At 43.6% G+C, this 15,907-nt stretch overlaps 1 protein-coding gene across 1 annotated transcript in view; it reads left to right on the top strand.

Moving 5' to 3' along the window:
• Nucleotides 1-2,856: 2,856 nt before the first annotated feature.
• HEPHL1 (hephaestin like 1) overlaps nt 2,857-15,907 on the top strand; it is a 92,855-nt gene continuing 79,804 nt past the window's right edge. The window contains exon 1 of the mRNA NM_001098672.2: nt 2,857-3,041. Within this exon, the coding sequence (NP_001092142.1) occupies nt 2,872-3,041 (170 nt within the window). The 5' untranslated portion in view covers nt 2,857-2,871. The remainder of the gene's footprint in view (nt 3,042-15,907) is intronic.

The raw sequence follows: 15,907 nt of genomic DNA on the forward strand, positions 1-15,907 counted from the left end.
CAAACATATCTTGTATGTAACTGTGGGTTTTTAAAAATGAGTGTTGATATGATAATTCACAGGTTTCCTAATAAAATTTAGACACTGTCAAACACATTGGGCGTGGAACTGTCGCTTTTCTGAAATGAGTGTCACAGGAACACTGCATTGTCTCATACCAGTTTATTTTCTTTAGCTCCTATGGCATTCCAATGCTCTTTGAGTAACACCTTTATTGTCCTAGGATAAGGAAGAATTTAAGAGAGCTTTCCAGAACCCTATTTCATTGTTTTTAATAAATTCTTTCCCACTTTTGGCCCTCTGTAAGCAAGTTCTCTGCTACAAATAGATTAAATGCGTTGACTTCATCTGCTATAGTGACTCAGATTTCTTGACCTGATCTATTCTGCAGATCTAGTTTTTGAATCAGAAGTTAGGTAATGCCTTCTCCTGGGTTTTAATTATATGCGTTCAGTATCTTGGGTAAGAAAGTTAACTCTTTTGTCTTTTTGAGCTGTATCACTTATACCTTTTTTTTTCTCCTGTCCAAAAAGGGGGGAATATGTCCTAATAACGTCTTTGATACGCCCAAAATAGCCAGCTTCTCTGGGATGTAAGCAACAAGATATTTGGTTTGGGACATTTCCAAATTCCACAACCTTTTTTTTTTTTTTTTTTTTTTTTTTTTTTTTTTTTGTGAGACAGAGTCTCGCTCTATCATCCAGGCTAGAGTGCAGTTGTGAGATCTTGGCTCACTGCAACCTTTGCCTCCAGGGTTCAAGAGATTCTCCTGCCCCAGCCTCCCTAGTAGCTGGGACTACAGGCATGCACCAACATGCCCGGGTTATTTTTGTATTTTTAGTAGAGACAGGGTTTCACCATATTCGGCAGGCTGGTCTCGAACTCCTGACCTCAGGTGATCCACCCACCTCGGCCTCCCAAAGTGCTGAGATTATAGGCATTAGCCACTGCGCCTGGCCAGATTCCCCATACTTTGAACTCCCTACTTCTTCTGAGGCCAACCTCAGGCCTACCACGTAAGTCCTCCTCTATAGTGTCCGTTGAAGTGCCAGACTCATACGAAGCTCCCAAACTCATGTTGAAGAGGAGATTTTAGCTAAATGGAAATGTGCTGTGGCAATTATTCTACCAGTGTCCTTGATACAACAAACAAATCAGTAAATCAAAGTTGTAAAGAGCCTGGCTATGAAACAGGATACTCAGTATGTATTTTATTATTTATTTATTTATTTATTTACTTATTTTGAGAAGGAATCTTGCTCTTGTTGCCCAGGCTGGAGTGCAGTGGCACAATCTTGGCTCACTGCAACCTCCACCTCCCAGGTTCAAGCGATTCTTCTGCCTAAGCCTCCCAAGTAACTGGGATTACAGGCGCCTGCCACTACGCCCGGCTAATTTTTGTATTTTTAGTACAGACAGGGTTTCACCATGTTGGCCAGGCTGGTCTCAAACTCGTGACCACAGGTGATCTGACTGCCTTGGCCTCCCAAATTGCTGGGATTACAGACCTGAGCCACCGTGCCTGGCCTTTTATTAATTAAGATGAATGCTAATACAAACTGTGCTATGGGACATTTATAGGGTAGCTACCATTTAAAGAAAAAGAATTCTCTTACTTGAGACTGGTGGAAGGCATGGCAGATAGGACTTTGGCAAAGAATAGTGGAAAGAAAGTTGAAGACTGCGGGGAAACACAAGTCTGTGGATACACAGGTTGATACAGTCTCTCTTAGAGGGCATGAATGGGCAGGAAGGACTTTAACACTTACTTAGTACCTACCCTATGCTAGGGGCTGGGGTAAGCACTTTGCAGACATCATCTTTTAAAAAGTTCCTTAAGAATCCCTCAATCCTTCTTCTATAGTCTCCAGCTCAATGATGTTAAGTGATTCCTCCATGCCACTAAATTGGAAAGTGGTGGGAACTCACATTCAAACCCAGGTCTGACCAACTTCAAAGGCCAGGAGGCTGTTTCCTTCATTCCATGGCTGCTCCCTCAAGAGTAACTGTGCATGGGGATAAGAGTAACTCTTTTCCAAGGTTGATCAAGGTCTCTTTCAATACCGAGATTCTGGGACACAGATTAGAAGACACAGAAGAATGGCCCAGCCTTTTCCACCCAAAGACCTGTTACTGAATTTTGTCTCCATGTGTCTGAAGGGTACTTCCCCATCATCATTTTCATTCATCCTAAGAAAGGCGGCTCCCTGTGTGGAGGTGGTGGCCGCGAACATTTTGGCTGAACTGAGCAGTCAACCTTCTCATTTTTGCTGGAAGGATTTGAGAGAATATGGGGGAGATGGTACACGAGCCAGTGGAGGATTAGTGGGGTTTTATGTTGTTGTGATGAACTTTATGATGTTAGTTTGTGGTTTCACATAGCCTCATAAAACAAGCTGGATGGTGATTATGTCACTTCCTCTGCCCTCCCGACAGAGAGGAGGCCTTCTTTAGTGCCTGGAGTGTTTCCTGATGCTCCACTCAGGCCAGCTCACTTTTCAGATTTTAATGTAAGAGGTGTGGAGAAGAAAAGAAGAAGAAGGGGTGGGGGAAAGCCATCGGCTCAAGTAGTCACACTGTCATCCTGGCTGACAAATGACTGATGTCAGAGCATGGTACCGAAACGTATAGAAACAGGCCTGTTGGCTTGGGCAATACATAAATGAGCCAGTCACACATTTCTCGGATGGCTGGCAAAAGTTTTGTTGTCAAAGCAACGCCCCCATCGAGCTTGCTTTGCTTACGCAAGGCCTCAGCCTTTGCCTCTTCCCCAAACCCAAGCTACCTGAGGAGGAGGAGCTGAGTGAGGGGGAGGGACCAACAGATTTGTCCCCTGTGCAGGCTGCCTGCCTGCTTGAGTTACATCCACAAATGCCTCGGAAGCAGCCAGCTGGCTGCATCTTTCTCCTCACATTCCTGGGTCTGTCTGGGCTGGTTGGCACAGTTACCAGAACGTACTACATTGGGATTGTGGAAGAATACTGGAACTATGTACCCCAAGGGAAGAATGTTATTACTGGGAAAAGTTTCACAGAAGACAAGTGAGTGAACTTAGGGTCCTCATTGACTCCCAGGTTTGGCCTCTTTTTGACTTTGTGTGGGGAAGGTTGTATTTCTTGGGTACTTACAATGGGGGTGAGTTGATCTAGACCAAGAGAAGGTGTTTTGTTTTTTGCTTGAAGAGCCCTAGTATGGATGGGTGTGTAATCTGGAAGAGATATTCATAGCTCCATGTATTTGTTGAGCCACCTATTAATAGCCTTGCCTGTGAAGGGACATATACACAACCAGGTGTTTGACAATTTCCACCAGGTACTACTAGTAACTTCTGGGGGATTCTGTTTGTTTGTTTGTTTTTAAATGACAACACTTGGGATGAAGATTTGAGAAATTTCAAGAATTCCTTATGGTTAAAACACAGTGTTTTCTTAGTTTGTATTTCTGGAATGAAACATCATAATGGGAGATAAGTATGCTAAGTCATGTTTTTCAACGTTTAAAAGAGGGGGAAGTCACAGGAGATTTGCCTGCTATTTTCAGGGTTTCCTTGAGTCTACTTAGAATTAGCGCTTTCACTGGTAAAAAGTTTATTCCAGCTCCAAGTCATTCTTGCTGAGGGCAATATCTTATCCCAGAACCTATAGCATAGCTAGGTGAGATGGCGCCACGGTGTTCTATGTTCCTGATTTTTAATTTGGGGCAGAAAATAACCCTTTCTCCCTGCCCCCTCCAGGGCCTAGTATCTTAACCATCTAATTTGTTTCATGGATCTCCCTCTGAAGTCACCTCCTGACTCCAGAAGATGTCATGCTATTTTCAACTTTGTGGTTATTAGAACATCTTTTCAGATGTTTTGGCAACCTCTGTTGGATATTTGAATGCTTGCTTCTTTTCTGACAGGCAGAACCAGTTGCATTCTGCATCCATGTTCCATTTCCTAAAGATGAGTTTAGTTGATAAAATTCAGGAACAGCACAGGGCCTACCAGCAAGTCTTTAAGAGCCAGGGCCCCTTGTCTTTGAGGAAAGACCAAAGATCCAGTTGGCTTGGAAATACAGCTTCCAAGTTTTCTAACAAAACAAAGGTGGTATAGTCATGTTTTGTTTACCAAAGATGAAGCCTGTGCCAGACAAGCTGCCAAGGCAGACTTTTCCTTAAGCTTTGTACCTGGAAATGTAATGTCTGCAGGGCTATTTCCAAAGGAAACTCTTGATTGCTTTCAATCCCACATCTGCTGACCATTGGTGGTAGTGTCTTTACTGTGATGAATAGCTATGGGATTGAAAGGGTACCAAAAATGCCAGGAGCCTTCTCTACAAATAGAGCTCTGCTATTCTCAGAGAGGGCTCAGTAGGAAACAGTCAATGTGAGCAGCTACTGGGGATAAGAATGTTGAAAGTGTGTACACTGAGTGTAATGAATATAGCGTTTAAGCTAAATGTGATACTGGATTGCCTTTCCATAAGATTAACACCCACAGAAATTCTTCTTCCTAAAATGCCCACGTCACTATAGCTGTGTATGGGCATTTATTCTGACCCAAAAATTCTATGAGGGATTTTTCAATTCATTACTGCTTGCAGATATTATTATTCTCATTTTATGAACCAGGAACCAAGGCTCTGAGGTTAAATACTTGCCGGAGTTTATAAGTAAGTGGTAGCACCAAACTCATTGCTTTGGTTCCACAGCCCATATTTCTTTTCACCACACAATCTGTTTCTTGGTAAAGGTGATCCTTCTCCAGTGAATTAAAACAACTTTGAGGGAAGCCAAGGATCACAGTAATAAGAACTTTCTAGAAAGTCCTAATTTTTGCCAAAGGCATGTTTAGTCTCTTTTGTCACTCTTCCTAGAAGCATATTGAAAGGGATCACTGGTGGTCAGTGACCAAACAAGTTATCTGGGTTAATTCAAAACCTCAAAGAATCATAAATACTCAAGTACTACAATGCTGTTTTCACAAAGTGGGGTGCTGGAAGAAGTTGGGGTCTCTGTTGATCATTTCAACCAGAAGATGGTGCTTTGATGAAAGTACAATAAAACATATAAAAATTGCTATGGTGAAAAAGAAAATAGGCATGATGAAAACAGTTGGTTTGGCATCAGATTTGAGTGAGATGGTTTCAAAATGCATGGTCCCATATGATAGTGCGTTTGTTCTTAGAAGCAGCTGGCATGCTAAGGTGTCATACCTAGAACGCCAAGGTCCCCAAACATTTCTTTCTGGTATGCGAAGGGACAGAGTTTGTGTCAGACAGACTGCTACCTCTTGGAAGGGAAATCCAGGTGAGTATGCAGTGGACGTTGGCTTTTATCAGTGATCCCATCAGAATACTGGTTTTTATCAGTGATCCCATCAGTGCTAGTAGTTGTGGTAGGTGGCTCAGACAAGTTCCTAAAAAGGTAGGGCTGTCGTAGGTGGCTGACATTGCTTGTGGACCACAAGATATCCATCCTGGGTGTATGTGAAGATGCTGTGACTGGGACATAAGTGGAGTTCAGTGTGTGTACTCTGTGTTGTGCCATTTCCCCAGGAGCAGGAAGGAGCCATCGTGGATGATGTAATCATGCCCCTCTCTCAGCCTCCTGGAGGGTGAATAGGCTGCCTTTCTGAGGACAGTCTGTTGTTTTGGATATTCACACTTGGGCAAATGTCTGATATTTAAAGGACCAGGAGAGCCAGGTGCTCAGAATTCCACCATGAATGGAAAGAACCTGAAATAGAAATCCAGAGACCTAACTTCTAATGCTTGCTCTGCCCAACTTGCTGTGTAATCTTGAACATGTCATATAATCTCTCTGAATATCACTTTCCTTAATTTGTGTAAGAAGGGAGTTGAAATGTAATCCCTAGAGTCACTTGAGAAGTGTAATGCCAAAGCATTAGAAATAATTTTGAAACTGAATGAAAAATATCTTTCCTGACTTGCCAGTTCTAGAAAGATTTTTGCAATGGTGAAAGAAAGGAGAGAGATGATTTGCAAATGTTCAGTCCTAGAAATTAGAGTTGGAGAAGACCTGGGACTGATCGTGGGCATATGTGACAACTTTTGAAGTAGTCTTTATTTTTCTTTCTCCATTTTTTCCCCTGTCCTTTAAGAATTATCTCCAATTCCTCACTTCATACATGAAGCTTTCCCCCATGACCCTGGCTTGTACTGATCTGTTTCCTTCCTAACCACTCATGGAGCTTGGGGTCTTTATCATGAACTTGGACACTGCATTTTCTTCCCTCTGCATTGCCCTCTAATTGCTTGATGTACATTAGTCATGTCTGCAACTGCAGTAAAACACCCTGATGATAGATAAGAAGTTTTGGCGTATATTCAATAATCCCCCTTCCCTGCACGGAACTTTGTCATTGACAATATCCTATGGAGGATCCAGTACAGGGCAGGCATTCAAAATCATTGAAGTAAAAGCTAATCACCTTATCAACTGAGTTGTTCTGGTTGTTTTATCTTTGAATAAGGGGAATGGGCAAAAATCTGGGGAACAAGATGGTGGGTGCCAAAGTTTCAGTAATGTGAAAACATTTGGAAACCAAAGTTAGGCACATCCTTATGCACAAGGACGAGATCGAAAATGAATTGAAATCATTTTGCTGAGACTCTATAGCCCTCAGATGGTGCAAATTAACTTTTATGCTTGGTACCTATGCTTGATTATAGGGTTCAAAAATATAATTGAGTCTATAATCACTAATGTTTCCTAGAAAGTATAGGATTTAGGAGTTAGATTCTATTTAGAAATACTTTCTCCAGATAAATATACTTCTCCTCCTCCTTGGAGTAAATGGGGACACTGGGCTCCTTTGAGTTGCCTGGGGATGGTGTCAGTATTTTGATCTATTTATACCAGTCCTGCTCAGGCTCATAAAGTCCTTAATTAAGGTGTGTGTTTGGTGGTAAAGCCTGATCCTTAATGGAAGTAGGGTGGGGTCATCTTATTTAAAGCCACAGTTCTCACCATAGACCTCATTAGGCCATCAACACACATTCAGCCTTTTTCTTCCCAGTGAAATGCAGGGTTTTCATGGACGCTAACTCATGGGTGGAACTGCGCTTGAACATAAGTGAGGCTAGCCACTGCTCAAACCCCATTTTTGTAGAGTCTGTTAGTTGACCCAGCCACATCACTGCATCAGCCCAGTGTATGGCAAGGGGCTTTGAGTATTCTAAGAAGCAGGCCCTAGGATAGGTGTGAGAGAGAACTCACACATCTATCTGAAAGAAGGACCAACTGAGGGGAAGCAGGGAGGAGACAGAGGTTTTTGTGAGCTTTGAAATAAAGAAAAGAATATCATCTGGTAAGTGCATGGTCTAAACAAATGGTAACTTTCAAATCTCAACTTCTGTCTTATCAGCACCAAAAATATTTTGTTTGGACTGATGCCATATGAATCTCTGGGAACTGCTGTTCTACCCTATATCAGTAAGTGATTGTTTCTGGCTGCCACTAGAGACTGGAGTATAATGTCTTTAACAAATTAGGATTTTGTATTCATTTGTAGAAGAATCCAGAAGTGGGCAGTCCAAGGCTGGTGGGATAGATGGTATAACAAGATATCAGGGGCTTTCTGTATTTCTGATCCACCATCCTTAGCCTATGTGCTTTAAACCCTTTGTGGTTTCCCTCCTCAAGCACATTCATGGTCACAAGATTGCTGTTGGATCTCCAGCCATCGTGTCTACATTCCAGGAAGAAAGAGAGAAAGGCAAAAGGTAGAAGCAGAACAATTTTTGCTGCATCAGCCTTTCAAAGGGTTCTCATTGAAACCCTACCCAACCAATTTTACTTAAATCTCATTGGATACTCATAGCCACAAAGAGGACTTGAAAAAATATAACGTTTCAGCTGTGTACTTTTCTGCCTGAATAAAGATAGAATTTACCTCTGACACTAAGAAAGAAGGGGAGCATGAATATTGCAAGGCAGCTGGCAGTCCCTGCTCCCCTCCCCTACCTCAGTTCTCTCCTGTTTTCCATGATTCACAGGCATCCTCTTAGTCCCCATCTTGCTTTTCCCACCTCCATATGATGGACCCCCAAGGCCTGGTTAGCAGGATCTGAAAGATAACTCATTGACAGTATAATAAGTTAGCTAAGTGTCACTGAGTATTTACTATGCTCCAGGCATTGCTTTAAAAGGTTAGCACACCATGAAGTGGGGTGACCAATCTTCTGTCTCTGGGAGGGAGATCAGGTGGCATCGGGAGGATTTCTCCAGCCAAGTGTAGCCCAGCCTTGGTCTTAGGGAGATGCCAAGGCAGTCCAGTTTGCTGGTAAAGTATGGGGCTCTGGCATCAACTGTCACATTTAGAATTCTTGCCCCACTTTATGGGCAAGTAATTCAATCTCTCTTTGCCTCAGTTTTCTCATCAGTAAAATAGGGATAGTGACAGTACTTGCTTTGAGGGTGTATCAGTTTTCTGTGGCTGCTGTAACAAGTTACAAACTAGGTGGCTTCAAACAACAGCAATTTATTCTCCCCCAGTTTTGGAGGCCAGATGTCTGAACTGCATGTGTTGTCAGGGCCACAATGCCTCTGGAGGTTCTAAGGGAGGGGCCATTCCTTGACTCTTCCAGGTTCTGGTATCTGCCAGCATTCCTTGGCTGTGGCTGCATCACTCTGATCTCTGCCTCCATTTTCATATCGTCGTCTTCTCTCTGTGTGTCTAGCCTATCTTTGCCTCTTACTTATAAGGATGCTTTTGATGGTGTTTAGGGCCCACCCAGCTAATCCAGGATGATCTCCCCATCTCAAGATCCTTAACTTAATCACATCTGCAAAGACCCATTTTTCCAATAAGTTTCTGTGGATGAGGACTGCGGAGTTATCTTTGGGACTTAGGATCTGCACATACTCAGACACAGTGCCTGCCACTTGAGAGCACTTGATCAGCTCTCGTGGTAGCTCTGCCGTCTCACGGGGTTCTTTGGAGAGCAGGAGCCCTGGGGGAAAGACCTTGGCTGGTCACATTTTCCTCTTTTCTAACAAAGCTTTACGCTTTACCAGAAATAATCATAACTGTCATTGATTCAGCACCACTCTCCCAGTTGCTGTGTGTGTGGCTCTACACCTCTTCTCATTGAATCCTTATGATAGCTCTACCATGGTCACTGCTTTACAGCAGAGGAAACTGGTTCAGAGAGGTTAAGTCTCTTCCCCATTTCACAACCAGCAAGTGAGAGAGTTGGGATTCAAGCTCATTTTCATTCCCCCTCATCATGCCATTTGTTTTGAACACACCTTGTATATGAAGGGCTTCTGTGGAAATGAAGAGTGAAAAGGAAGGACCCAAGACATAGGTGGTGCCAGGGACCCAGAGTGAAAGAATGTATATAGAAGCACATCCAGATGGTATTAAAAATTATTAATCTAATAGGGAGGGTGCAGCTTCACCAAACTGAATGTGCAATCTCCGTCTCCACCCTTCCTTTTTCCAAGTGACATTTGTCTCAATCTCATCTTTTTTTCTCCTTGGTGAAGAACGTTCCTTCTCAAGCTCAAACAATATTTCTTGTCCTTATTGTGACTCTTATGATCTCACATGTTGGATCTGACCACACTCTCTGCTAACATTATTTTGCAGTTTATCTTCATCTTATATTTCCCTGCCCTCTACACAGACATGTGGGCTCTGGACAGTAGAGTTGGCAGTTAACATTGTAAAACTGTGTTTACTGTCAAATGCATGTTTTGCTTCCCAACTAGATGGTAAAACTCTTGCATGCAGGGACTGAGATTAATACATCTTGGCCCCAGTTTCTAGTTTTATGTCCCAGACATAGTAGATGATCAGCAATTGCTCCAAGGAAGCTATCAGAAAACATCCCTCTAAAAGATGCAGAGGTCATGGGATTGCTGGGTGGTTTATATCCCTGCAAGCTACGAACTCCTGAGAATCTAACCTGGAAGTCCAACTCTGTACTGTGTAGGGGATTCCCAAGGGCAGGTTTGTTCTGATAATGATTAATCTCCTCTGCTTTTGGAAGATATCTCCATCCACAGGATTGGCCCCAGGCACTGGCAATGTAATGTTCCAAGTCCCCATCTTGTCTTTAAGGCAGTTGTTAATGTTAACCTTCCTGGCCCCACTGGATTCTTTTGCAGCAGGAAGTAGACACCTCCTTAGCTTGAGTCAAGATGTTAGAATGCAGATTGAAAATGTTCTTGAGGAATAGTGATTGCTCAGCCCCTCGCCATGGCTACGTGATAAACAACAGATGGCTCACCAATGCAACATTCTAACAAATATACTCCATTTAAATTGGAGGTTGCTTCATGGGGATGGCTCCCTTGAAGTTACTTCCTTACTTTGTTTCTTGGGCAAATTTGCATTTTATAGAACTCAAAGGAGCTGGAGTTTCTGTTCTACTATTACAAATGCATAATATGTTCTCAATGGGTGGTTTGCTGTGTAGACACTAAAACAAACTACTTTCTCTTATTTCTATCCCTTCCCACTTCTTTTTTTACTTTCAAGCTTTTTTTCCTATTAGTTAAAAAAGTATAGGATCTCACTGTATTGCCCAGGCTAGTCTTAAACTCCTAGCCTCAAGTGATCCTCCCACCTTGGCCTCCCAAAATGCTGGGATTAGGCATGAGCCACCACACCCAGCCTCAACAAATTTTTATCAAATAGTTACTATAGTTTTTGTTTTGTGTGAAGTATCTTCCTAGGGCACCTTCATGGGTCAACCCTGTCCTACTCTTGATGTGGAGTCAGTGCAGGGGAAGAAGTCCTGGGACAAGGAGGAAGCTATGGGTTCTCTTCACTGTCTGAGCAGGAGGCTCCTCCTGCAGCAGAGGAAGAGAGGGTCTTGCAATAATAATTAAATGCCCCCACCCAGAAGTGACACGTGGCATTTCCACTCACAGCCAATTTGCCAGAACACTATGGCCCATCTAACTTGCAAAAGCAGAATCACTGTGGTCTTCTTTGGTTAGGAGGAAAGAAAAATTAGAATACGCAAGCCCTAAAAAGCTCTACTACAGGAATCATTTGGTGATCTTAGGAAAAAATACAGATACCATGGTCTTGCCAGTAGAAAGTCTGATTCCATTGCCCTGAAGTGGGGCCTGAGAATAAAAATTTGGCAAATGTTCCAAATGATTCTGATGCAAGTGGTACATGGGTGGACATTTGGGAACCACTGCTTTAGAAAACCCAATCCCCCCTTGGGGTGACTATTGGCTGTATAGGTGATAAGACTGATATGTGTCCAGGAATATGAAAAACAGTCAATGTATAACTCAGTGCCAAAATATGAAGCATACCATAAGTGCTCCAGTCCCTACAGGGACTCAGCAAACACTTCACTGCCCCTCCTGATACTTATTTTGCCTCTTATTTAGTGCCTTTGCCAGACAACTCATGGTAAGACCTGGTCTTGTGGAGGTGATGGAGAAAGGTCTTGGGCAGAGGTGGGGTCAGGACCTCTTAGCAGATTAAAAGCAGGAGTACATATGTGAAGATGTGAGCATGTGTGCTCCACATGCATCTGCATGTGTGTATACTTTTGTGTCTTCATGTGTGCAGTGGGAGAACAGGGTAGAGAAGTAGAGTCCAATGTCCATCCTTCCCTATAGGGCCTGTTGGAATGATAAGGTCCTATGAATAATAGTTTTGTATTATAGTTTTTACCCATCAGGCTGAACCCAGAGAGCATACCAGGGATTCTGAATCTAATCCTTGCTGTGCCACCTTACTGGGTGACCCATTGTCAGCTATAAAACTGGGCAACTCTGAGGCTTATTAGCAAGCTTGGGGATGACTCAGTTCTTCCTCTGCCTCTTCCTCTTCCTTCTCCTTTTGCACAGCCTGTTCAATCAGGAGTTGTATTCAGCTACTCTTTAACAGAATCCTGAAAAACAGAAGTGGTTTAAATCGATTAAAGATTTATTATTATTGCTTACATAAAAGAGAGCCAGAGGTTGGCAATCATCTGGGTCCCAGGTTCCTTTTGGCTCTCACTTGACCATTCCTAGGGTGTGACCCTCTTCCTCGTTATCTCAAGATGGCTGCTGGAGCTCCAGTCATCATGTCTACATTTCAGGCATGAATAAAGGGAAGAGAAGAGGAGAAAAATGGTGTCTTCCAGCTACACCTGGAGAAGTATCATTGAGTGACTTCTGCTTACATCTGATTGGCTAGAATTATGTCACATGACTATTCCAAGTTGCAAGCAAGTCTGAGAAATGTAACAGCCTCTATTATAAAGGTCCAGGGGTCAGGCATCCCAACTTTTATATCCCATTCTCTTGCACAGGGAAATGTAAGTCTTTGCCTTATAGAGTGGGAGAGGGCTAACTCTTGCTCCTGGGTAGACACATGCAGGCTTAGTGGATGCTTGGATACAAGAGACCCAGAATGTTCATACACAGTCCCAAGACTTCAGCCTCAATGCCTGAGAGGAGAGTTGGCAAGCCAGAGGTTGAGCAGGGATAGTGAGCAGATGCCATGCTCTCTGCTCCAGAGGCCAATCCCCTTGCAGAGCAGAACTCAATCCAACAACACCCTTTGTTGTGGCAGCTTTGTTTTTAGAAATAGAAGGCATGCAAGAGAATTTTGGCCCCTTGGAGGCCAAACAGCATGGGTCTTCTTTTTTTTTCAATAAAACGTGAGCTTGTTTTTAGTATTGAATTTGTAGGTACAGAGTAACCGCCCCTCCCCCTACAACAGTATAAAAGAGGATGAGTGAAAGTAAACTTCTCCTCCGTCCTCCCTCCCACCTGTGGCTTCAGTCTCATAGTCTGGAGGCTACACTTTGTTTCCCTGGTCACTTTCCAGATGTATTCTTTGCATATGGGTAAATGTGCATTGTTACACACACACACACACACACACACACACACACACACACAAATGGGATAATACTTTACATACGGCTCTGCAATTTGCTTTTTTTTTATTAGTATCTTGGTGATCACGCCATATCAGCACCTGTAGACCACCTTATTCTTTTCTTATGGGTATGTGGCATGAATGCCATCATTTATTTACCCAGCTGCCAGTTGAAGAACATTTTGGTCTTTCCAGGCTTTTGCTATCAAAATCATTCTCTAATTTTTTAAACAGGATTCCTCTCTTGATCACATTGTTTGGATTGGAAGCTGAACCTAGTAATTGGGGGACAGAGAACATTGCTGCCTCTGGGAGGTCTTGTCCTGTGATTCCTGGGGTTCTTCTCTAGTCAGGCCCATCTCTGGCTTCTCCATCGGGGGTCTAAACCCATGGGTTCCTTCTTGTCCCAGGACCTCCTCCCTACCACGGACTCCACCTCAAGGGTGGGATAGGGTTAACCCTGGGAAGGTTAATAATCAGATGCTCTGGGCAGATAAATAGCACGGATCTCCTTCATCTATAGGAGAGGCTGAGTACTGAGGAGAGGAGAAAGTGGTCTGGTGATGGCCATTCTTACCTCCCTTTGGCTGCAAGCCAAAAGCAGTCTACTCTACAGTTCACTGCACCAATTCTCCTTGGAATAGATTTTTGTGGCCACCTGTTAGTATTCGAGCATAACCTTTGGGGTCTCTTCACTCACCTCCCAAACCCCATCTCAAACAGCTAATCAAAGCCTCCTTTCCAATGACATACAGTGCTTACCCCACAGAAGTTCCACAGGTTGCAATTTTCTCCAACTTCAATGTCATTTCCAGTGAATTTTATCCACCCTGAAATGCTTCCAGCTCCCCAGTGATGTTCCAGTGGCCTTTAGATCTGAGACCCAGCTGCTCTACCCCTTAATCTGGCTCAGCTGAAAACCGTGGGGGATTCTCCAGCCTCCGAGGCCAAGGCCTGCTTCATTTAAAAGAGGCTTTGTTGCTGGTGGGTTTGACCTGGCTTATGATTTTATTACGTGGTCTGGGGCAGGCTGGATACCTCAGCTGGCTAGACAGCGGGAGTGATAATCACTTTTTAGCTTGACTTTTAAACCTTGCTGCGCTCTCTTTAAATTATTTTCTTTTTAATTTTGCTATGCTGTAAGCTTCAGTTTACAAATTAGAAAATGTCAAGGTGGCTGTAAACCCCATTTGTTAGCAGGTCCCAACAGTCTTTGGGAGGCATACCCAGCAAACTGAAGCCTATAAGGTTGTTATAGTAGGTAGCTAGTCAGGCATGAGCAGGGCAGGAGAGGGGTCCGCCTGACCAGGAATGTCAGGTAACCACCAGGTGATGGTCAGGCGGTTGTTAACTGTCTCTCTAAAGTAATAATTGGTCACAGTCAGTGCCAGGGAAAGGCAGTCTCCCTATAGATAGAAAAAACCTGAAACTGGTGATCAGCAGCTTCCTGATAAGATCTCAGGAGTTGGGCAAATGGGCTCAAGCAAGTGCATTGAGGGGCAAAACGGCGGAGTTTAACTGGTATATGACCTTCCAGGGACATTCCACTGGTAAGGGAAGAATGCCTCACGTGAGCATGCGTACAGCTCCAGTAAACACACCGCACCTGCTCATCTCCCAAGTGCTAGGAGGCCACTGCACATATGGACAACCCATGCCAAGGGAAGAATCAGGGGAGAAGTGACACAAGAGCCCAGAAGTATGCCAATGTATAAAACCCCAAGTCAAAAGGTCAAACTGCGCACTTGTTTTTCAAGTCGCCCGCTTGGCCCTCTTCCAAGGGTGCTTTCCTTCCTTTTGTTCCTACTCTAAAGCTTTTTAATAAACTTTCATTCCTGCTCTAAAACTTGCCTCAGTCTCTCCTTTTGCCTTATGCCCCTTAGTTGAATTGAATTCTTTCTTCTGAGGAGGCAGGGATTGAGGTTGCTGCAGGCCCATATGAATTTGCTGCTGGTAACAAGGTCATATGTTGAATTTCTGAGAGCAGCTGGGTCTCAGATCTAAACAACTCAAGTGTGTTTTCTCCCAGTAGTAAGATATGATGTCATCCAGGTGTAGAGAGGACCCGAAGACTCTGGAGCACTGTGTGGCCTGGCCATTTGTGTAGGGTAAGAAGAGCAACTATGTGCTTGGAGTGCCCCCACCCTCATATCCACAGCGGACATCTAGTGTGGATCATGGTGTTCTTCTCTCATTGAACTCAACCTTGACTTCTTTTCTAAGCAATTACCACCAATTAGATTTGGTGCACAAGATAAAATCTATTGGCTGTCCTGGACCTAGAGGGTATTCAAATATGGTAACCTATGCTTTTCAGCAAATAGAGTTTGCAACACCATCCCAGCTTTAGCTTGCCAATATGGGGACAAACTCACACTTGTTTGTTTGTTTTTAAGTGCCAAAGCCATTAAACACCAACTCTTCCAGGCGAGTTGCTGGGGCTTAGGAATAAAAAGGATGTTTAAAGGGGTATTGTCTTCAATGAGCTCACAAACCAGAGATGTGCATATCTCACTGTAACACGCTTTGGTGAGTACCATTATTAGCACATGAACAGAGCACTGTGTATGTAGAGAGGAGGAAAAGAGGAAGAGTGTGAGTCTACCTCAAAGGGTGCTTGGCAGGTAGAGAATGAGGAAGACCACTGAGGCCCAGGAAAAAGAATGTGCTGAAGTCTTAAAATGCTGAAAGGACATGGTGTGTACCAAGAAGAGAGTGTCTGATCTGGCAGAAGCATGGGGACCTGGGAGTTGGGGCAAAGAGGGAGGAAATGAGGTTGGAGAGAAAAGCTGTTGCTTCAAAGAGGACTTTTTCTGCTTTGATTTGAACCTGTGGATCCTTCTTCCCAGCTTGACTCAGATGTCCTTTCCTCCATCTGCCTAAGTGATTCTTCTACCTTCTAAGGTGGTTCCCATCTTCTGCTCCATGCGGGATGGATTCCAGGCTGCTCAATATGTTGATCTCTAGCTCCATCATCCTGAAAAGTCTGCAGGGTGGGCAAAGCCACCATTTATTATTAAGACTGCTTAGGAGCTTTGAAGTAGGAGCTGCTTT

This window comes from Homo sapiens, chromosome 11 (assembly GCF_000001405.40).
Source record: "Homo sapiens chromosome 11, GRCh38.p14 Primary Assembly".
In the NCBI taxonomy this organism is placed as follows: Eukaryota; Metazoa; Chordata; class Mammalia; order Primates; family Hominidae; genus Homo; species Homo sapiens.